This window comes from Homo sapiens, chromosome 19, assembly GCF_000001405.40.
Source record: "Homo sapiens chromosome 19, GRCh38.p14 Primary Assembly".
Taxonomy (NCBI): Eukaryota; Metazoa; Chordata; class Mammalia; order Primates; family Hominidae; genus Homo; species Homo sapiens.
In genome coordinates, this window is record NC_000019.10 from 28699917 (window position 1) to 28724731 (window position 24815).

General features: G+C 38.4%; 1 pseudogene across 1 annotated transcript in view; it reads right to left on the reverse strand.

Moving 5' to 3' along the window:
• LOC100420587 (SHC binding and spindle associated 1 pseudogene) overlaps positions 1-24815 on the reverse strand; it is a 292307-nt pseudogene that overhangs the window by 264529 nt on the left and 2963 nt on the right. The window contains exons 4-5 of the transcript NR_110759.1: positions 24288-24402; positions 22654-22864 (exon numbers count right to left, since the gene is read on the reverse strand). The product of NR_110759.1 is annotated as an SHC binding and spindle associated 1 pseudogene (transcript). The remainder of the gene's footprint in view (positions 1-22653; positions 22865-24287; positions 24403-24815) is intronic.

Below are 24815 nucleotides of genomic sequence, written 5' to 3' on the forward strand. Positions count from 1 at the left end.
ACGAAGAAACTGGATCACTTAAACATTGCTAGTGGGAATCGAAAATTGTATAACCACTCTGGAGAACAGTCTGGAAGTTTCCTTAAAAAACTAAACATGCAACTGCCATAGGACCTACAATTGTATTCCTGGGCATTTACCCCTAAGAAATAAAAAGTATCTTCTCAGCAAAATCTGTACACAAATGCTTACAGCAGCTTTACTGATAATAGGCAAAAACTGAAAATAATCTAGATGTCCTCCAATGGGTGAATAAACAAACTACAGAACCACCACACGTTGGACTACTACCCAACAATAAAAAGGAACAAATTACTGGTACATACAGCTACTGGGATGAGGCTCCAGAGAATTGTGTTAAGTGAAAAATGTCAGTCCCACAAGGTCATATCCCAAAAGGAATGTGATTTCATTTTTAAAACTTTTTTGAAATGATGAAATAACAGAAATGGAAAACAGATTAAGGTTTGCCAACAGTTAAGGAAGAGACTGATGGGAGAGGAAAGTAAGTGAGTGTGGCTATAAAAGGGCAACCAGAGGAATCGCTGTGGTGATGGACGTGCTCCTCAGCCTAACTGAATGTCAGCATTCTGGCTGTGCTACGATACTGTGGTTTCATAAGATGTCACCACTGGGCCAAACTGGTAAAGAGTGTACATACAGGATCTCTCTGTGTTATCTCTTACAACAGTAGTGAATCTACAATTACCTCAAAATAAAAAGTAATTAAATAAAAGCAACTGAGCTTTGACTGTTATAAAATTGTTTATAAAGTCATAATTTTAAGAGCCTAAAATTCTCTGAAAGTTACAGTAAATTGTGAGATTTATTATTTTTCTTACTAATCTATGTTTTGAAAATGCTACGTAAGAACCTTGTACAATTGAGCTTGCATGACTTAGTAGATATAAATGTCTGAAATTCTTTGAAGAAAGAGAATAGGAGTCTGCACTTACATCTTGGTCTCATATTTTATATATTTATTTACAACTTAAACTCAAACTATTTCCCAAAAAGAGCTCATCATATCTTGTCACCATGTAAATCCAAGTTCTTCATTAAAAATGTGCGTGCTGTGCCTCATGCTACTTCACATGGCAGCACAATTTTCTGATGGAGTCTCCTTATGGTGAGTGCCTGTGATGAAAACACACAGCTGACTGCTTTAAGAAGTAATGTACCTTTTCCAGTATCAGGGACAGCCTGGAGCTGACATTAGATATAGTCTAAATATTTAATAACTTCCATTTAAACTTGAATTCGAAATTCATAAAATACAAAACAATGACCGTTTTGAGCTATTTTCTCACATCTAAAAGTAACATTCTTAAAAAAGAATGACTTGACCTCAGAAATGCAAAAGCACTTTTCATTACCACAAAAGAATATCAGAGATCAACTTTGCTCAGTATCTTGGGGAAAAAAGATCTTATTCAAGAAAGAAGACACAGATCTTAGGAAACAAATACTACTGCAATGTGAAGATAGCTAGTTTCAGTCTAGTGCTAAATTGAAAACAATGAATACAGACCACTACGTTGGAAAGTATTAAAAGAAAAAGATGACTGCACCGAGAAGAAATTAATATTAAACTAACACATTTTCAAGAATAGGCTGAACTATTTTTTACTTCAGGGTAAGATTCCTAAGTTGTCATGCTGTGTACATAAATAATCAGCCTTCCAAGTACAGGCATACCTTGGAGATATTGTAGTGTAGTTTCCAGACCACTGCAATAAAGCAAATATTGCAATAGAATGAGTCACATCAATTTTTTGGTTTCTTAATGCATATAAAAGTTATTTTTATGAGAGAACAAGGCAGGAGGATCACTTAAGCCCAGGAGTTTGAGAGCAGCCTGGCTACATAGTGAGACTCTATCTCTAGAAAGACATAAAAATATTAGCCTGGTGTGGTGGTACGTGCCTGTAGTCTCAGCTGCTCAAAAGGCTGAGGTGGAAGAATCACTTGACCCCAGGAGATTGAGGCTGTAGTGAGCTAGGACTGCACCACTGCTCTCCAGCCTGGTTGACAGAGCGAGACCCTGTCTCTCCAAAAAAAAAAAATAAAAAATAAATTAAAAAAAAAAAAGGTATGTTTATATAATATTGTAGTCTAAGTGTACAAAAGCACTATGTTTTAAAAAAAAGTATAAACCTTAATTTAAAAATACTTTATTTTGCTAAAACATACAAGGATCATCTGACCTTCAGAAAATCATAATCTTTTTTGCTGGTGGAGGGTCTTGCCTCAATGTTGACGGCTGCTGACTGATCAGGATAGTGGTTGCTGAAGGTTGGGCTGGCTGTGGCAATTTCTTAAAATAAGACGAACAGTTTGCCGCATTGACCCCTCCTTTCGAAAAAGATTTCTCAGTAGCATGTAATGCGATGTTATGATAGCATTTTACTCACAGAAGAATGTTTTTCAAAATAGGAGTTGATCATCTCAAAGCCCTCCTCTGCTTTATCAACTACACTGACGTACTATGCTAAATCCTTTGTTGTCATTTCAACAATATTCATTCTCTTTACCAGGAGTAGATTCCATCTCAAGAAATCATCTTCTTTGCTCATCCGTAAGAAGCAACTCCTCACCTGTTCAAGTTTTGTCATAAGATTGTAGCAACTCAGTCCCATCACCAGGCTCCACTTCTAATTCTGGTTCTCTTAGTATTTCCACTCATCTGCAGTTACTTCCTCCACTGACTTCTTGACCCTCAAAGAGTTTGGGAGTGTTGGAATCAATTTCTCCCAAACCCAATGTTAATGTTGACATTCTGACCTCCTCTCATGAGTCTTGAATGTTCTTAATGACATCTAAGTGGTGAATCCTTCCCAGAAGGTTTTCAATTGACTTTGCCCAGATCCATCAGAGAAATCACTATCAATTGAAGCTATACTTTATGAAGTCTATTTCTTAAATATTAAGACTTGAAAGTTGAAATTACTCCTTGATCCATGGGCTGCAGAATGGATGTTGTGTTAGCATGAAAAGAATATTAATCTCCTCGCACATTTCCGTCAGAGCTCTCAGGTGACCAGGTGCATTGTTCGGTAAGCAATATTTTGGAAGGATTTTTTTTTTTTTTTCTGAGCAGTGCGTCTCAACAGTGGGCTTGAAATATTCAGCAAACAATGCAATAAACGGATTTGCTACCACTCAGGCTTTGTTGTTCCATTTCTAGAGCACAGGCAGAATAGACATAGCATAATTCTTAAGGGCCCTAAGATTTTCAGAATTGTAATTGACCACTGATTCAAGTTAAAGTCACCAGTAAGAGAATTGGCCTGTCTTTTGAAGCTTTGAAGCCAACTAATGACTTTTCTCTAGTTATGAAAAGTCCTAGATGCATCTTCTTCCAATAGAAGGCCATTTCATCTACACTGAAAATCTGCTGTTTAGTGTAGCCACCTTCATCAGTGACTTCAGCTAGCTCTTCTGGATAGCTTTCCGCAGCTTCTACAATAGAAACTACTGCTTCACCTTGCACTTTTATGTTACAGAGATGACTTCTTTCCTTAAACCTCATGAACCAACCTCTGCTAGCCAACTTTTTCTTCTGTAGCTCCCTTGACTCTCTCAGCCTTCACAGAATTAAAAAGAGTTAGGACCTTGCTGTGTAGGCTTATGCTTAAGGGAATGTTGTAGTTGATTTAATCTTCTATGCTGACAACTAAAACTTTCTCCATATTAGTAATAAGGCTGTTTTGCTCTCTTATTCATGTGTTTGGCTTTTGATGTGCCTTTCTCACTAGGCTTAATCATTTCTAGACTTTGTTTAATGTGAGGGACATGCAACTCTTCCTTTCACTTGAACACATAGATGTCATTGTAGGGTTATTAATTGGTCTCCTTTCTATATTGCTTTGTCTCAGAATAGAGAAGCCCAAGAAGAGGGAGAGAGAAGGGGGCATGGCTGATTGTTGGAATAGTCAGAACACACACAACACTTACTAAGTTCACCATTTTTCTATGGTGATGCAGTTCACATCACCCCAAAACAATTACAGTGGTAATATCAAAGACCACTGGTCACAGATCAGCATAACAAATATAATAATAATAAAAACATTTGAAATATTGTGAGAATTACCAAAATGTCACACAAAGGCATAAAGTGAGCACCAGTTATTGGAAAAATGAGGCCAAGTAGACTTACTCGAAGCAGGGTTACCACAAACCTTCAATGTATAAAACATTCAATATCTGCAAAGCACAATACAACTAGGTATTCCTGTACTCAACAGTGGCATTTCATTAAATTCTATCTTCCATAGAAAGTAAAGTTTTCCTTCAAAGCCTAGAATGAGTAAATACACCAAACAGTCAGACATTTAAGATTTCTTTTATAACACCATGCTGAACAAATCTTATGCCTGAGATGTTAATATCCTCATTCATGCAGTCCACAGAAGTGTCACCTTTTTCCCTCTTTTCTATCACAATATTAATTGGTAGACCATATCCTAAGGAAGAGAACAGAAACATTTAAGGTGGGTGAGGGGAAATGTCCAAACACAAAAATGTAGAACACATTTCTCTAGTGCAAGGGGCTTGAAATGATAATGAGACCAGTCAACCCAGATGCATTTAAATAAAGTCGATCTCCCCACATATCTTATTTAAACCAGGGCATCAAATTTTTAACAATAACAACTTCCCAATGTGTCCCCATACTAGCAAGACTACTCTATCAGCCATCTCAGAACAGCCCAGCACAAAATGCACATACAAAGCTGCCATGAAAGTTAAAAAATAATCCTAAGGATCTACAACTGGGTCAAAGGGCTTTAAAGCATTCAGCTCTCTTAAGCTTTTGTCTAACTGCATGGGTGCTGTGGAAGGAACCTTAAGTATCTGAGATTCTATGATTCTAATACAAATTACATTTGAATAAACCTAAGCAGTTCTCAAGATTACCTAATTTTAATATTCTCGTAGAAAGAATGACTTAAAATCTGACAAACTGACTTATGACAGTTTAGCTACAGGAAAAAACAGTCTATTTCATTAATCAACAAAAAGCATTAGCTCTCCATAAATCTTAATCAAATCAGTAATACAGGCCAAGCCTCTGAGTGGGCTTACAAAAACCTGGAATATCGGAAAACTAAAGAACTCGCTTGACTTTCATTATAAAACAGAAGACAAACACATAGACGAAGCTGTAAGAAAGAAAGACCTCATTGTCTAATGATAAGTCCTTGAGTACATGAAAGCAGTAACTGCAGTAAACAGGCAAAGCCACTGAACTTATCCATACTTGAAGGGTACAGACAAGCCTCTGGGGGCACTAGAGAAGGCAAGATGACTCCATACACTGGAATGCTACCAGGGTGGACTAGAAATGACTGAACAGTGAGTAATTTTGTTTCTGATTCTGTATGTGTCTGCCTGTACTTTGAATATTTTCTACAATAACCATTGTTTTTTTAGCATCAGAAAAATTATAAATAGAAAAAGAATTGCATATTGAAGAAAAAACAGATTTTTACACAAATTACGTATTCTTATCAATTTAAAACATAAAGCCATTACCTAAAGTGAACAGATTTTCTAAAGAAAGAGAAGCCCAACCATAAGTACTATTAATACCCTGCACATAGTAGGTACTCAATATATCTCTTAAGTGTTAGGTATAGATTACTATCAGATAAGCTTTAATTTACTCATAAGCTAGTGCTCCATATATTCACACCAGAGATACCATTTGATTCCTCAATTCTCAGAAATGTCCTCTGTTAGTAAATTTACAGTCATTTTTACACTCAACTATCAGAATTTGATAGGTTATTTATGACACTCTGGCAATTACATTGTAATTTCCTCACCAATCTAAGAACTCTTATCTACTATACAATTTATAATATGAATGTTATTTTTACTCTGCCAAAAAATAAAGTGTTTTTATTGCAGTGATTTATCCTGCACATGTGTTACTTATACATACACATCTATTATAAATCAAGTATTGGAGAGGAGAAAGAACAAAATTAACAAACATAAAACAAAAAAGGGAGTGAGATGATGTACTAGTGAACAGCAGGAAATTAAACTCCCAGCCTTGCTTCCATTAAGAAGTTTTGACAAGATAAAGATCAAGAACACAGCTTAAGCAGTTAGTGAACAGCTGCACAAGTCCCAAAATGATATATGATTTTTTTGCATTACAAGCTTCATTGCTAACTTGTAGCAGTTTTGGTAAATAGTTGAATAGGTACAACTAAATTTGACACATTACGGAAATATACAAGACCAAGATGAACAATTGTAAAGTAATCTGAACTTAGGAATTACTCCAAATGAACAAAAAGATTATAACTGGAAAAGTTATTTTTAATAGATATTGAAGATATCTATTAAAGCAGATAATAGTTATCTATTAACTATTATATATTTAATATTAATCTTTCAACATTAACGTTTTCAAAAGTATACTGTGTCAAGACACAAAGTGTAGCATTTGTGACACTCAGCAAACTTTTAGAGAATTAAGATAATTTTTGATACCAATTTCAAGTAAAACGCCCTTCACCATATCTCTCACAAAAATAAGCTAAATTTAAAACAAAAAACAAACAGCCATGCACTAAGATATCACAATATCTATGAGATAAGAGCAAGTAACAAACTAAAAAATACTGAAATTAAAAATAATATTGTTGGGAATCTTTTTTTTTTAATTCTAGAAATTTGACATCCTTTCCATAAATCACCTACGATCTGTATAGTTTGCTTCTTCCTCATGGTCTTTTTTCTATACAGCCCTGTAAGTATCTTCCCAACATATACACTGCTACAAAGAACCACAAGTCCACTTACTCAAAAACTGGGTCAACTCCTTTTAAGCTTCCAATGCCTTTAATGTTTCAAGGCAATTCAATAATTCATTTGAAGTGAAATAGGTTGAAATCACATTCTTGGAGCTTTGACAAGAACAGTCATTTATTGTTTACTTAATCATGTCATGCATGAGAGTTTGGTTGTGTCTTCCATACCCACCTTCCAACTCAATGGAGTCAACACTGCACTCCATTATGCCACATACCACAAAATGGTCAGGACAAACGATAACAGTGTCACCTTCATAGCAGGCATTTATAACAGATAATGGATCACCGAAGAACTAGAAAACAACAACATATTTGCAAATATACACCCACATATGGTGTGGATCTCTGTCCCCAACCAAGTCTCATGTCTCATGTTCAATTGTAATCCCCAGTGTTGGATGTGGAGCCTAGTGGGAGGTGACTGGGTAATGGGGACAGTTTCTAATGGTTTAGTACCATCCCCCTAGTGCTGTCTCATGACAGAGTTCTCATGAGATCTGGTTGTTTAAAAGTATGTAGCACCTACCCTCATTCTCTTTCTTCCTCCTCCTCCAGCCATTTAAGCCATGCCTGCTTCCCCTTCACCTTCTGCCATGATTGTAAGTTTCCTGAGGCCTCCCCTGCCATGTGTCCTTATAACCTGCAGAACTGTGAGCCAATTAAACCTCTTTTCTTTATCAGGTATTTATAGGCAGTGTGCAAAGTGACAAATATACAACCCCACAAAGCAACTCGAGTATTATTCCAAGTGCCTTCATGTCTCACTCTGAAAATGGAGCCAACACTGCACGCTGAAGCATCTCCTTTGGTAGTGGACTGAACCTAATGCATGCCTGGTAAGTGGCTACTGCTGATGAAAGGCAGGGTTCTCACTACTTCCTATTTAACAGAAAACCACCTCTGGGAAGCTCTGTGTAGAATTCATGAAAACCTATGGTGAATCAGAAGGAAAAAAGCCACTTGCAGCAAGACACTCTTCTTTTACCTGAATTTCTATATCTTCCCCCAAGGCACCTGGCAAAGCCTGTCCATGAGTAGGGTCCACAGCAGACCAGTCATCATGGTGGAGGAGATCTCATGGGTGGAACTTCTGACAACTGGATGGACACCCTTTGCTTAGATGTTAGAATTCTGATAACCAAACACATACCATGAAGAAACCAAACAGACCTAACAGTTCTCAGTAAGATAGCAAGGAAGAAAAGATGCTAACTAGCTAAGAATTACAAAGGCACACATACCTCAACAAAGGACTCTCCATGAGTTTTAGCTTTTGCTTCACCTGTTCAATCTCTGAATACAATTTTAACCCTTCAACCATGGAGATATTTTCCTGCTCAGAGCTACAATTTGCCAAACTGCTTCTCAGATTAAAAAATTTGCTGTAACTCTCCTCACATTGAGACAACAGATTGTGGTAGTCACGTCCTGAAGGAACTCAGTTTTCAAGAATGTCATAATCCCTGAGAGTTTAAAAGCAAACTGAAATCCATTGCCTTTCAGACACATTTTTTCTCATTAAGAAAGCCCATGGAGTCCTCAAAGACCCACTAAGAAAAGTGCTTTATAACTCAGGTACATGTTAAGTCTCTCTGAATAGTACTCTAAGTGGTAACTGTTGAAAGTTTCAAACACCACTTCATTGAAGTCATTAATTTTTCTTCTTTTGAGGAATTGTTTTTTCTTAGATCCAAACATTTGTGCTTTAGAATTACCTAAAGTTCATATTGTACAATTTGTAATCATTATTTAATAAGAAATTATTTTCTTCTCATATATTAGATTCAAAATCTTAATAAGGAGTGGGTGGCAAGGGCCAACTGGGGAGTAGGGGTATAGAGGGAAGTAAATTGTTTCACAATGGTTAAGACTGCCATGTTTTTCAGAGATCTGAATGTGATTTTAAAATGTTTTAAAAGATTACCATATTTATAGGATCAAAAATTAGAAATGACTCAAACTGTCTAGTCCTTCCTTACATTTAAAGCACTATATAGGCACAAAATTATGTTGAATATTCCCAGAGAAAGACCAGGGGATTTCAAAAAAATAAACCTTTGAGATTTTGAGGGGAAAAAAATGCTGTCATTATTAGAGAATGATTAACACAAAATAACCTTGTACTGGACCACCTTACTGGCACTTGAAATTTATTCATTTACATAAATTCTCAAATATAATGACAGAACAAAAAGTATGTCTCAATGTAATAAAATAATTTATAAATGTACAGTCAATAGATATTAAATTAATGGGTTTAACAATAAAATAAAATATTGCCATTACCTGTAGTTTTAAAATAATTGCTTTATTTTTCAGTTAAATGTATATCAACTAGCTGTGCCTTAGGTTAGAGCTTCTCAATTCTGATGAATATTAGAATCACCTAGGATCTTTCAAAAATACAGATGCTCAGGCCAACATCCAGAGCAATAAAAACGGGCCTCTGAAAGTGGAGAGGTATTTTTTAAAGTTCCCCAAGCATGTAATGTGTAGCCAAGGTTGAGAACTATTGTCTTAGATTATTATTTTTTTAACTTCGTCATGCTCTTAAGAAGATGGGGGGAGGGGAGAAAGCTGAACAAAATCCTAATTCATATCAAATTATGGTGAACACTCAATATTTAAAATGAACAGAAGATTTTATTTTCTTGCTTTTCCAAGTAAATGGATTGGGTAAAGCTTGAAAAAGTAAGGATTTTGTCTACTTTGGTTATCCACACTCATTTAAAGATACTCTAGAAATCTACTTTGCAAATAAGAAATTACGAACCAAACCACTGGTCTATTAAGTTGCGAAGATTAAGACTAAAATTTTAAAATAAGTTTCTTAGCATTTCCAATATCCATGCAAGTTAGCTTATTTCTTCTCATTAGATTGATACTTTACAGTCTAGAACCAGTGAACCAACATCATCTTCAGACCCCTAAGTTCTGAAGTAGTGTGTTTTGAATTAGAAAGGAAAAATATTTGCCACATGGTGCAAAATCAAGACAGTGATTTGATCTTGCCTGCTGATAGCTCTACTCCTATCTTAGCCCAGGAACCTTTTTAGAGTCTGCATACATGTGATAACATTCCAGTTTCTCCATCAAGTGCCACAGTTTCTTCTCCGTAACTAAAGACAATTCCTCCCTTATGCTGTCCCATCTGCCAGTGATGTACAAGGCATGTATGGAGATCATTACTTGTCCACACATGCAAGGCTCTCAAATCAGAATACAATTTTTTTTGTCCACATACAGATCAAATTTGCCAGATATGCATTATATTTACCTACCATTACATTCTACTTCAATCAAAACCAATCACTGCTCTTTAAGAGCAAGTGTATCAAACCTAGAAAATATTCAAGCTTTTTGATGTTCTGGGATTGTACTGAACACACTATAGAAAAATAGGAAATGCACAATAGAAAAATTAGAAAGGTAGAAATCACAGTCAACTTATGAAAGCTGAAATCAGACATACATAATTGTAAACCAGGTAGAACCATTAACCAGATTTTCATTTTTTAAAAAATTTTGTTATTATTTACTATTTAAACCAAGAGAAACTTACTAAATCAAATCAAACTGCATGAAAATGTAAAGGCCTTGTCTTATATAATGTCAAATCATCTTTCACATAGGAAAAACAAATTACCTTCTACAATTCTTTTTAGTGTGAGTTCTAATTTTATTGCAGCATTGCCTGTTAATTTACTGCTCAGGAATACAGGAGAAAATTACTGGTCTTACAGCACCATCTAGTGGAAAGATAAGTGTCGCATGTAACAAGATCAGCATAGAACAACTACTTAATTTAGGTTGCATGATTAATTTTGGTATTTTTGAACGGAAAAGCTTTTCCTTGTCAAAATATGATAAATTAGAAGAATGCGTTTAGGTATTTTTGATTCATCTGTTAGTTTAACCTAGTATGTTTTACTATAGGAACTTAGAGTAAAGCCATATACTTTAAAAAAAAAGTATTATTTAAGTTTCAAGCAAAAAAGTCTCTATAATGCAAATAAGTTCTTTGTTTTTCAAACAATTGTCATTAAATAGATGTTCACAAACCTCCTGATTTTAGGCTTAGTTTATAAACAGTTAAAGCAGGTTTCTCTGCACTTGTTCGTTTCATTTAATAACTTGAAAAGGGGCTGCACTATTTGTATATTGGTCTATTTCTGTCTATAGGCCCTTGGAGTAAGAGTATGTGCGTGTGTATGTGTGTGTGTATGTGTGTGTGTGCGTGCATTGCGCATGTGTGTGTCTCACAAAGGTAAAATTAAGCCATGGTAACTATTTTTTCAATATGTACAAGGTCAGTAATAAACACAATCTCAATTGAGGTTTAACACGTCTGACAAAACAATCATATGCATCATCCTTTTCTTCATCCCAACTCTTCCAAATGTTCTGGTAGAAAAACCTGAAAAATAACTTAATATCATTCAAATTTAATCACTGGCTCCAAATGTTAGGATTCTGGAGGGATGAGAGCTAAAGAATAAATCAAAGCAATTCTCATATCTCAGAGAATGCTGCATATTTGCTATGGTTATCAGTTGAGTCACACAAGATAAAGACCTTCTTTGAATCAGCTAGAGGGGTTTTTCTATAACACTCATTTTTTTAAAACTTTCTTTTTATCAGAAGTAGTATTTATTGACCATCTCTAACTGGGCAGGTAGTAGTTCCATTTGTTGAGATAGAAAACACTGGGAGAGAAACAGGTTTGGGGTTCAAAATGAAGAGTTGTGTCTTTGCCATGTTCAGGCTGAGATGCCTATCTGACCTCCCAGTAATGACGTCAAATGTACAGAGAAATATACAAGCCCAGAGATCCAGGGAAAGGTCAGGGCTAGAGACATAAATCTGGGAGGTGTCAGCATATTAATAGTTTTAAAGCAGTAAATGAGATCATCTAGGGACATAATATAAAGCAGCAGTTCTCAACCCTGGTTGCACATTAGGGTCCCCCGGGATACTTTAAAAAATTGATTCCCTATCCCAGACCAATAAATCAGATATCTGCGGAGGGAAGGGGGTTAGCATTCACATGTTTTTTAAAGCTCTCTAAGCACTTTAACAAATTTTTATTACAAAAAATTCTAAACATACAACAGATAAAATAGTATCATGAATATCATGTATCCATCAGCCAACTTCAAGAATTACCCACTTGGGAGAAATCTTATTTCATCTCTACCTCACCAACCTACCCTCTGCTCCTCTCCTCTCATCATCCTGACCCTGGCTTATTTTGAAGCAAATCTCAGATGTATCAAATCATTCACAAATTTTTAGTATGTAGCTCTAAAATAAATCCTTATGCCAAAAAAGTTTTAATTTCTTAATATTACCAAATATCCAGTCAGTACTCAAATTTTCCTAATTTTCTCTTTTGCTGTTGTTGTTTTACAGTTGACTTGTTCAAATTAGGATCCAAACAAGGCCAGCTGTGGCCCTTAATGGATGCGTCTCTTAAATCACTTTTATTCTATACATTACCCCTTGCTCTTTTTACCCTTGTAATTTATTTAATAGTTTCACACACACTGAATTTTGTTGATTACTTATCCATGGGGTCATTTAACATGTTTTTCTGTTTCTTTCCTTTCTAGTAAACTGATAGTAAGATCTAGAGCTTGATGGGCTTCAGGAAAGACTTTTTGGCAGGAATACTTCAAGTGAGGTATGATGTACTTGCATCGGGAAGCACATATAGCAAGTCCTCTAATATCAGCCTTTCATTGAATGCCTTTCACTATATAAGGGAATAAACATCAATTCCTGGCCATAGTCGCAGTCTGTGTGGAGTTTTCATGTTTTTCCTATGTCTGCATGGGTTTTCTACAGGTACTCTGGCTTCCCACATCATAAAGATGTGCATACGAAAGATGAGCATGCTAGCTGAACTGGTGTGTCGACATCGTCCCAGTCTGAGTGTGGGTGTGAGTGCACCCTGGGATGAAGTGGCATTGTGTCTCATGCTGGTTCCTATCTTGCACCCTAAGCTGCCATGATAGGTTTTGGCCACCTGCATCCCTGAACTGGAATAAGCAGGTTGGAAAATGAAAGAATGAATATGAATTATTGTCAAATAAAAAATCTTAAATTAGACAATAATCATACAAATGCACAACAATAAACAATGCAGTATAAAATCACTCAGCGAGTCCATCAAGTTGGTGACGGTTTGAACCACGTGGTGGTAAAGGGTACTCCTTACAATTTTTACTTTGCCGACATTTATTCCTCAATTTGACCAACCACCACCATGACTGCCGTGACTCACTGATTCACCAAAAATTGGGTAAATAATTATTTTGTTTTTATAATCTTTCTTATATGTATACAGGATTCACATTTATTTCAATGTTCAAGATTAAAATTGTTTTTGGTCTTTATTTAGAAGTTTGGTGATGTTTTTGTGACCAGAAATAGGCCATAGGAACTTTAACTTTTGTTTGTATCTATTAGCCTATGGTAACATTGGTTTTGTAATTTCGCTTAAAGTTGAAGTTTCCAAGAACCTGTCGACAACAGTAAGTGAAGACTTCTATAACGCCTAGCCATCTCTTTTTGTGAGGTTAAGACTGATCAATGGATTCAGGTGTTGTCAGCCTGATTCACCCACTATGAAGTTCTCTATTAGTTTTTCACCTAAAGATTACAGCAGTCATTGAGGATCACTGCCTACAACCTTTATTTCATTAGTGGTTACAAAATATGGATATTCTATCATTCCTTCTTCATGTAGTGGTTGGATGTGTCTATAAGGAAAATCCCCAAGTTATTATAATGTGGTTCCAAGGTAGAGTAGATGAGAAAAAGAAGAGTAATAGGATTGATCCCTTGGTAACTCGAACACTCTAAAAAGTTAGAGCATGAGAGAAGAGCTAGGCAAGATGACTAGAAAACCAAGCCGGTGAGACACCAAATGAATAGTGCTGTCGTAGAGGCTGAGAGGAGAGTGTGTTAAGATGGGAATGGAGGAGGCAGAGCAAGGTAGTGGAAAAGAAGGCTCCTCTGATCATTCTCTGTGCAAGGACACCAATTTAACAACTATCCAGTTCTTTGGTAAGAACTAAAAATCACGTGAGCACCTATAGCACCTGGTTTTAACTTCATATCACTGAAAAGAGGCATGGAAGAGATAGAAAAAACAGTCTTGAATCGCCGATGCCACCCCTCACCCACCATCCTGTGTGGTACAGAGAGCATATCTGGGTGCTGCAGGAGGGAGAGCACTGCAATTGTAAGGCATTAAACTGAGCTGTCCTGCCACAGCAGAAAGGAAAACTAGACCAAACTCAGCTGACACTCACCTATGGAGGCGGCATTTAAACCAGCCCCAGCCAGAGCGGAATCACTCATCCCAGCAGTCCAAACTTGAGATCCTGCAAACCTTGCCACTGAGGGCTAAAGCACTTTGTGTCTCTAAGTAAACTTGACAGGCACACTAGGCCATAAGGACTGCGACTCTTAGGTGAGTCCTAGGGCTGAACTGGGCCCAGAAACACAGAGACACAGTGGACTTGGTGGGGGCACACAACCTACTGAGACATCAGCTGGGGTGTCTACCGGAGTGCTGGCATCACCCCTCCCCTAAACCCAGACTGCACAGCTCACAGCTCTAAAGGAGACCCCATCCCTCCACTTGAGAAGAGGAGGGGGAAGAGTGGGGAGGTCTTCATCTTCCATCTTGGATACCAGCTCAGCCACAGCAGGATAGGTCACCAGCCAGAGTTGTGAGGCTTCCCCATGCCGCATTCCAGGCCCTAACTCCCAACCCCCAATGACATTTCTAGACACATCCTGGGTTACAAGGAACCCACTGCTTTGAAGGAAAGGACCCAGTCCTGCCAGCATTCATCGCCTGCCAACTGAAGACCCCTTGGACCCTGAATAACCAGCAGCTATACCCAGGTACTACGTCAAGGGCCTTGATGAGCCACTGAGACTTGCTGGCTTCAGGGGAGACTCAGCACATTCCCAGCTGTGGTGGGCCACAGGCCAAGTCTCCTTCAGCTTGAGAAAAGCAGAGGGAAAAGTAAAGGGGACTTCGTCTCTCACCTTAGGTACTAGCACAGCCACAGCAGGGTAGAGTACCCAGCGGGCTATTAGTGTCCCTAATTCTGGGACTTGATTCTTGAATGGCATTTCTGGACCTGTCCTGGGTCAGAGGGAGGGAAGCCCACTGCCCTGAAGGGTGAGTCCCAGGCCAGGCAGCATTCACCACCAACTGAGTCGAGAGACCTGGGGCCTTACAGGAACATCAGCAATAGTCTGGCAGTAGTCCTTGTGGCCTGGGATGGTGGTAGCTACAGGGTGAGGCTCCTCTGCTTTTGGAAAGCGGACAGAAGAGTGGGAAGGACTGCATCTTGTGGTTTGAGTGTCAGCTCAGCCACAGTACAACAGAACACCAGGTAGACGTCTAAGGCTTTGACTCTAGTCCCTGACTTCAAGATGACACCTCTGGATCCACCTGGAGCCTGGGGGACCTCATCACCCTGAAGGGAAGGACACAGGCCTGGCTGGCTTTGTCACTTGCTGACTGTTAAGCCCCAGGTTCTTGAGCAAACATAGGCAGTAGCCAGGATGTGGTTACAGTAGGCCTTGGGTGAGACTCAGTGCTGTGCTGGCTTCAGGTCTGACCCAGTGCGGTCACAGTGGTGGTGGCCACAGGGGTGGTTGTGTCACTCCACCCTCAACTTTAGGTGACTCAGAAGAGAAACTCTGCTTGGGAGAAAGTAAGGGAAGAGAACAGGAGTCTCTGCCTGGTAATCCAGAGAATTCTCCCGGATCTTGCTCAAGACCATGAAGGCAGTACCTTCGAGTCTTCAAACATTCAAAAAAACTGAGATAATATCAAGCATCTTCTCTGACCGCAATAGAATAAAACTAGAAATCAATAACAAGAGGAATTTTGGAAACTATGCAAATACATGGAAATCAAACAATATGCGCCTAAATGACCAGAGAGTTAATGAAGAAATTAAGAAGAAAATTGAACAATTTCTTGAAACAAATCATAATGGAAATACAATATAGCAAAACCTATGGGATACAGTAAAAGCAGTACTCAAAGGAAAGTTTATAGCTATAAGTGCCTACATCAAAAAGAGGAAGAACTCCACATAAATAATCTAACAATGCATCTTAAAGAACTAGAAAAGCAAGAGCAAACCAAACCCAAAATTAGAAGAAAATAAATAATAAAGATCAGTGCAGACATAAATAAAACTGAAATGAAAATACAAAACATCAATGAAACAAAAGGTTGTTTTTTAAAAAGTTACACAAAATTGACATTGCCAAACTAAAAAAAAGAAAAAAAAAGATACGAATAAATAAAATCAAAAATGAAAAACGAGACATTACAACTGATATTGCAGAAATTCAAAGAATTTGATTCCTAGTATCATTGTTGGATAGTATAGGCAACTATATACCAATAAATCAGAAAATACAGAAGAAATGGACAAATTTCTAGATATATACAACCAATCAAGATTTAATCAGGAAGAAATCTAAAACCTGAATGGACCAATAACAAGTAACAATATCAAAGCTATAATAAAAAATCTCCAAGTAAAGAAAAGCTCGGGACTGATGGCGTCACTGCTGAGTTTTACCAATCCTCCTCAAACTATTCCAAAAAATAGCAGAGGAGGGAATACTTCCAAACTCATTCTACAAGACCAGTATTACCCTGATATCAAAATCAGACAAAGACGCATCAAAAAAAAGAAAAGAAAAGAAAAAAAAGAAAGAAAACTACAGGCCAATATCTCTGATGAATACTTATTGAAAAATTCTCAACATTACCAAACCAAATTCGCTAATATATTAGATCATTCATCATAACAAAATGTAATGTATCCCCATGATGCAAGGATGGTTCAACATACACAAATCAATGTGACATATCATATCAACAGAATGAAGGATAAAAACCATATGATCATTTCAATTGATGCTGAAAAGGCATTTCATAAAATTCAACATCCCTTCATGATAAAAACTCTCAAAAAGCTGGGTATAGAAGGAACATACCTCAACATAATAAAAGCCATATACAGCAGACCCATAGCTCTTATCATACTGAATGTGGAGAACTGAAAGTCTTTCCTCTAAGATTCGGAACACAAGGATGCCCACTTTCACCAGTGTTATTCACCACAGTACTATAAGTCCTAGCTACAGCAATCAGACAAGAGAAGGATATAAAGGGCATCCAAGTTGGAATGGAAGATGTCAAATTACCTTGTTTGCAAGTGATATGATCTTATATTTGAAAAAAACCTAAAGACTCCACCCAAAAACTACTAGAAGTGATAAATTCAGTCAAGTCGCAGAATACAAAATCAATATATAAAAATCAGTAGCATTTTTATATGCCAACAGTGAACAATCTGAAAAAAATTTAAGTAACCCCATTTAAAATAGTTACACATAAAATTAAATACCTAGGAACTACCCAAAGAAGTGAAAGATTATAATGAAAACTATAAAACAGTGATGAAAGAAAGAGAACACCAAAAAAAGGAAAAATATTCCATGTTCATGGAATGGAAGAAGCAATTTTGTTAAAATGTCCATACTATCCAAAGCAATCTACAGATTCAGTATTATCATAAGGAAAAAGAACAAAACTGGAAGAATCACATTATCTGACTTTAATTTTTTTTATTTATTTATTTTTTTGAGACGGAGTCTTGCTCTGTTGCCCAGGCTGGAGTGCAGTGGCCCGATCTCGGCTCACTGCAAGCTCCGCCTCCCGGGTTCGCACCATACTCCTGCCTCAGCCTCCCGAGTAGCTGGGACTACAGGCACCCGCCACCGCGCCCGGCTAATTTTTTGTATTTTTAGTAGAGATGGGGTTTCACCGTGTTAGTCAGGATGGTCTCGATCTCCTGACCTCGTGATTATATTACAGAGCTATAGTAACCAAACTTCAGGGACTGGCATAAAAACAGACACATAAACCAATGATAAAAAATAGAGAACCAAAAAACAAATCCCCACACATAAGCGAACTCATTTTCCACAAAGGTGCCAAGAACATACACTGGGAAAAAGACAGCTTCTTCAATAACTGGTGCTGGGAAAACTGGTTATCTATATGCAGAAGAAGGAAACTAGACTCCTATCTCTCACTATACACACAAATCAAATCCAAATGAAGACTTAAATCTAAAACCTTAAATTATATATAAAAAAAAAACCCTTAAACTACAAAACTACTACAAGAAAACATTAGGGTTTTCCCTAGAACATTGGTCTGGGCAAAAACTTCTTGTGTTATACCCTACAAGCACAGGCAACCAAGGCAGAAATGGACAGATGGGATCACATCAAGTTAAAAAGCTTCTGCATAGCAAAGGACACAATCAACAAAGTGAAGAGACAACCCATGGAATGGGAGAAAATATTTGCAAACTACCCATCTGACAAGAAATTAATAACCAGAATATACACGGGGCTGCAAACAACTCTATAGGAAAAAATCTAATAATAAAAAAATGGGCAAAAGATTTGAATAGCCATTTCTCAAAAGAAGACATACAAATGGCAAACAGGCATATGAAAAGGTGCTCAACGTCATTGTTCACCAGAGCAATGCAAATCAAAACTACAATGAGATATCATCTCACCCCAGTTAAAATGTCTTATATCCAAAACACAGGCGATAACAAATGCTGGCGAAGATGTTAAGAAAAGGGAACCAGGCCAGGCACAGTGCCTCATGCCTGTAATCCCAGCACTTTGGGAGGCCAAGGCGGGTGGATCCCTGGAGGTTGGAAGTTCGAGACCAGCCTGACCAACATGGAGAAACCCCGTCTCTACTAAAAATACAAAATTAGCTGGGCATGGTGGCACATGCCTGTAATCCCAGCTACTCGGGAGGCTGAGGCAGGAGAATCGCTTGAACCTGGAAGGCGGAGGTTGTGGTGAGCAGAGATCGCGCCATTGCACTACAGCCTGGGCAACAGGAAGGAAATTCCATCTCAAAAAAAAAAGAAAAAAGAAAAAGAAAAGGGAACCATCCTACACTGTTGGTGAGAATGTAAATTAGTAAAATAATTATGGAGAACAGTTTGGAAGTTCCTCAAAAAACTAAAAATGGAGCTACCATATCATCCAGCAATACCACTCCTGGGTATATATCCAAAATAAGGAAAATAAGTATACTGAAAAGATACCTGCACTCCTACGTTTATTTGCAGCACTGTTTACAATAGCTGGGATCTGGCAGCAATCTAAGTGTCCATCAACAGACGAACGGATAAAGAAAATGTAGGACTTCTACACAATGGAATACTATTCAGCCATAAAAAAGAATGAATCATTTGCAACAACATGGATGAAACTGGAGATCATTATGTTAAGTGAAATAAGCCAGGCACAGAAACACAAACATTGCATGTTTTCACTTATTTGTAGGATCTAATAATCAAAACAATTGAGCTTATGGAGAGAGAGGATAGAAGGATGGTTACTACAGGCTAAAAGGGTAGTTGGGGGATGAGGGGAAGGTAGGGATGGTTAATTAGAAAGAATGAATAGAACCTATTAGTTGACAGTATAACAGAGTGACTATAGTCAATAATAACATAATTGTACATTTTAAAAGAACGAAAAGAGTCTAATTGGATTGTTTATAACACAAAGGATAAGCATTTGAAGGAAGGATACACCATTCTCCATGATGTGATTATTTCACATTGCATGCCTGTATCAAAACATCTCATGTAACCCATAAATATATAAACCTACTATGTACCCACAAAAATTAAAAATAAAAAAATAAAAAAATAGAAATGATCAAACACCTAGAATACAGTCAAGAGGTCAAGCAGGATGAGATCAGAGAAGTGTCAACTGGATTTGAGAACATGGAAGTCCTTGATAATCTTGAGCACAATTTTCATGGTGAAGTCAGAGTAGAAGTGTTACTGGGATGCCAAGAAGTACAGACTGTCTGTCTGTGACTATATATAACTCTTTCAAAAAGTTCTGTGTGAAAAGAAAGGAGCACTAAAAATGAAGCCAGCCATCTTTTAATTCTTATGGATTGGGCTGTCAGTCTCTTCACCCTCTAGAGTCTATTTTTTTTTTTTTTAATGAATCTAAGCATGCCTTTACTCAATTCAAAAAAAACCTCTGCCAGCTCTTTGCGGCCCTCAAAATGAAGTCCTAAACGTGATAATATAACATGGATTCATAATTTAACTCCAATTACCTCCCTTGCCTGAGAGCCCTTGTGGGTAAACTGTCAATTTCACAAGCTCTTTCTAACCTCCATGTAACATGTTGGTCAGCCTGCTGGAAGTGTCTTCCTTCTCCACCTGGTAAGCCTGTATTTACAACCCATGACTCAGCTCAGACATCCTCCTCACCAGTACCATGCCAGGCACTTACACATCATTCACATCTACACCTCCCCAGTCTTTATTCCTTTAAGCCAGAAACATGAGTATCAGCCTTGACTTCCACATCCACTCATGTCTCATCCCCCATAACTGTTCGACAACCAAGGCCCAGCTATTCTACTTTCTCAATAAGCCTCCATCCCCACTCTAGACCCCTCCATATCCCCACTCTAGACCCCTCCATATCGCCACTCTAGACCCCTCCATATCCCCCACTCTAGACCCCTCCATATCCCCACTCTAGACCCCTCCATATCCCCACTCTATACCCCTACATATCCCCACTCTAGATCCCTCCATATCCCCCACTCTAGTGCTCTCCGTATCCTGAATCTAGACCCCTCCATATCCCCACTCTAGACCCCTCCATATCCCCACTCTATACCCCTACATATCCCCACTCTAGATCCCTCCATATCCCCCACTCTAGTGCTCTCCGTATCCTGACTCTAGACCCCTCCATATCCGCCACTCTAGATCTCTCCATATCCCCACTCTAGACCCCTCCATATCCCCACCTCCCTATTCCATCTCCCTCCACTTGTTTTCCACACAGCAGCCAGAACGAACCTTTTAAAACACAAAGCAAGTCATATTGACCCCAGAATAAAAATCCCTCCATGGCTTTTCATGCTCTTACAAAATGATTCACTGGGAGACAAAGCCCTGCACCGTCTGAGCCCTGCCAACCTCTCTACCCTGGCTGAGAGTCCACAGGACTCTCCCAGCACTGTGTTCTGGCCACATTGACCTTGCAGCTCCTCAAAGCCACTGAGTTCCTGAACCGGTTCCCCCATCTCTGCCACCCCTTTCACCTGCCATTCCTTTCACCTTTTACACCCAAATTTGAATGTCATTTCCTCAGGAAATAAGCACAGAACAGCAACCTGACCCAGTCTTAGGACACTCTGCAATTCTTCACGGTGCTCACGGCCGCTTCCAATTGCATCTGCATCCTTATGTGACTATTCTATAAAGCTTCACCTCCCACCTTTAGACTGGCAGCTCCCCGACAAGGGTGTTGGTTTTGTGCACCAGTCATACCCCACCCTCAGCTGAGAACCCAGCACTCCACACTTATTGAATCAATGGGCAAATGAAAACCCTCATAATTTGACCTTCTCTAGGCACCGACCAGAATCTGAGTCCTCAACATGGAGAGTAAATGTAACCAGGCTCCTCTTCCTTAACAGGAACTCTTACCAGTTCCAGGTACTTGTCTTTCTACCAACTTCTATACCCATAGAGATTGGCATCCTCTCTAATTTCCTAAACTCATCAGTTATCCCTTCACCTTCAAATGCTTCAACTGACAGACTATTTTAAAGCAAGAGAAACATAACAGAGTCATTTTGGTCCTGGACAGAAACCAGTTCTTTAGATTTATATTGCTTGGCTTAATACTGAATACCCAGGGTTAAATGTTCTTGCATGCAATTAGAGATTGTCCATAAGATGTCGGAAGCGGCATCTGAGGCACTCTGCTTCTTTATCGAGTATTTAAACTAAGCTTGGCAAAACCAGGTTAACTGACAAATGGTATAGAAACAGGAAAGTACTTTCAAAACTACAAAACACCAAGCAACATTATTAACATTATGATCGTTGCATTAGCCAGTCTTCCACTTACTAGAGGAATATAAGTCCATTTTTACATGGCTAAAAGTAGACTTCTTTAGTGAATGTACTTACATATAGAAAATCCAAAAGAACTATCTGTATCAGACACTATCTGATAGAAGATTTATCTGAAAAAAATTTTAAATCATACCTATTAATATGAATCCAGGTGTGGGCTTTCTTTCTCATGTAAGGGACAAAGGGTCTGTTTGTACAGGTGGAAATAACTGCCAAATAGGCTGAATGGCAGGAACACAAACCCTAGGGATCCAGGAAGCAGCCTCAGAAAACACCTTCTCTGACCAGATACCTCCTTGAAGAAAATGTGTATTAGTTTAATCAGTGCATACATCATCATCATGGTACACAAACTTCTTTGCTTTCCTTCCTTTCCTCTTTCTGTCCTTTTAGACTCAAATATACCAACCATAAGCCTTAGCATCCATAACTTTTAAGTCAGTTTCTAAATATACACAAACCAAATTAAGAATCCCCTACCTTTTGTTAACATTTGGGGATACCAGGTAAAAGACAAACAGGAATGCTTTGTACTGTACTATTTTTGTTAACTTTTCTGTGAGTTTGAAATTATCCCAAATGATTTAAAACTTTTTTTTAATTTAAAAAGATTATCCTATCATTGAATATTTTAAAATATTGCCATGACCAAGTTTACAGTTTGAATTTTAAAGCTGGGTCTAACACAGACCAGAATTACTTCAATTCATCCAAAATTTCTGGCCACAAAGTTATTTTTATCAACTTACCTTCCTAGCTGACATGCTCAGTTACAAGTTACAAGTGCTGTCTCCAGAATCATCAAACACCACCCAGCTCCTTCAGGGGCAACTGATGTTCCTTCAGCTCGAGGAGCTCTTTCACACACTCCAAGGTGAAAGTACTCGCTCAAGATTCACAGAGGTATGGCTCAGCAAGCTGCACCACTGCCTTCAAGGCTGAAATGTCCACATCTGTGGCCTAAAATGTAAAATAATGTGACTTAACACGTGGAAATCAAAATTAAGCTCCACGTATAAAACACTACTGACAGCCTGATTTTTTTAAAGCATGCAATAGGGGCAGGGATGCTTCTTCCATTATGGAAGCCTATCCTTCCATAAAGGATAAACATGAGAGGCCTGGCTTTTAGCTCATGGAACTTACATTGTAATCAAGGGGGTAAATAAACAAGATAGTGATGAGTAGGTGACAGAGAGTAACTAGCAGGGGTGGTGATCTGGTTTTGCTGGGATGGCCAGGCGAAGTCACCTCTGCGCTGAGAATGAAAAGGAAGCAGCCATCCAAAGAGCAGGGAAGACGCAAAAGGCCTGTGGTCGAGAGGGGCTTGGCCACTGAAAGAGCAGAAAGGCAGTCCTTCTTGCTAGAGCCAAAGGGAGGAAACTGGGAGCAGGGGAGAAACAGTAAGTGATGAGGTAGGAGAGAAAGGCAAAAAGACCAGGACATATAGAGCATCTGGCGCTTGGATTTTACATGTTCTCCAGCACCATGAGAAGCCATAAAGCCAACACGGGACCCTCGGTAAATGCAATGCATTAGTAGTTTTAAGCAGAGAAATTGTACACTTCTCTTTTAAAACAATGACTTTGACTGCTTTTAGAGAAGTGATGGGGGCAGGAGGGGTGGGCACTATCATAACCCAATGAAAAGGCCAGAACTTCAACTGAAGATATCAGCATAATCCAAAACTTAAAAACTCACAAGGAACAGCTGCAACCCACTGCCTCGTTCATAATCACTGCAGTATGCAATGCCATTTTCTAAAGGAGCTGCAGCAACAACTTGTATACACACCCCCTGGTTTAACATTTTAGCTTAACAGGACTTTTTGTGGTTCAGTTAACAAACACTGAGAAAAATTCACAGCTGTAATTGGAGTGCAAATTTAATGTAAAAGGCCCAGTCAGTTGAAAAATAAGATTGTTTTTACTTTCTGCAATGAGACACATTATCAAAAGATTAACCACATATCTACAAATTTACTAGGCAAAAATGGGATAGTTTTAAAATGCCTCTTTGGTTTGAGTTACTTAATGGGCTACAACTAAGAAGGTAAAAAATTAATGGAAACTGTTGACTTCATAATTAGGCCTCCTCATTTTTTAAATGATCTCAAATACTTCCTCCACTTCATAGGTTTATAATCCAGTTCCCCTTGTCAAAGGACGCTGAAACTTAAGCCACTTTAATTCCCTGGTAGCTCCTCCTCAGCTGCCTTTAAAATTTGCGGAACACTTCCTACACCATAGCAATTAGATGTGAAAAACATGCTATTTCAATCAGCTCATAAACTTTAATTAAAAATAAGCACTTTGGCTCTAAGAGTCTGAAGTAAAGTGCTTATAGCTTGAGACAAATGTCTTAACAACAAAATTAACTTTACCTCAAGCAGCACCTTGAGCACATCATGTGCCAGACTGTCCGCCATCCAGATGGCTCAAGGACCTTCTCCAAGAACTCAGCTGTGAATTCCCGTGCCTCAGAGGCCTTGCAGTCAACTACAAACAAATTAAACACAGGAAGAAGTGAGAATGCATAAAGCAGAGGGAAGTTAATAAATCCACTTAAATCCATTTTCTCAGAACCAACAACTGGCAATCTGAGGGACTGAGATAGGCAGTCTGCTTATAAACTAAAAAGATAAAAGGAGCAAAAAAGGACAGGCACGGTGGCTCACGTGTGTAATCCCAGCACTTTGGGAGGCCGAGGTGGGCAGATCACTAGAGCTCAGGAGTTCAAGACCAGCCTGGGCAACACGGCAAAACCCTCTCTTTAGAAAAAATACAAAAATTAGCCAGGTGTAGTGGTGCATGCCTGTAGTCCCAGCTGCTCAAGAGGCTGAGGTGGGAGGATGGCTTGAGCCAAGAAGCAGAGGTCGCAGTGAGCCAAGATCGTGCCACTGCCCTCCAGC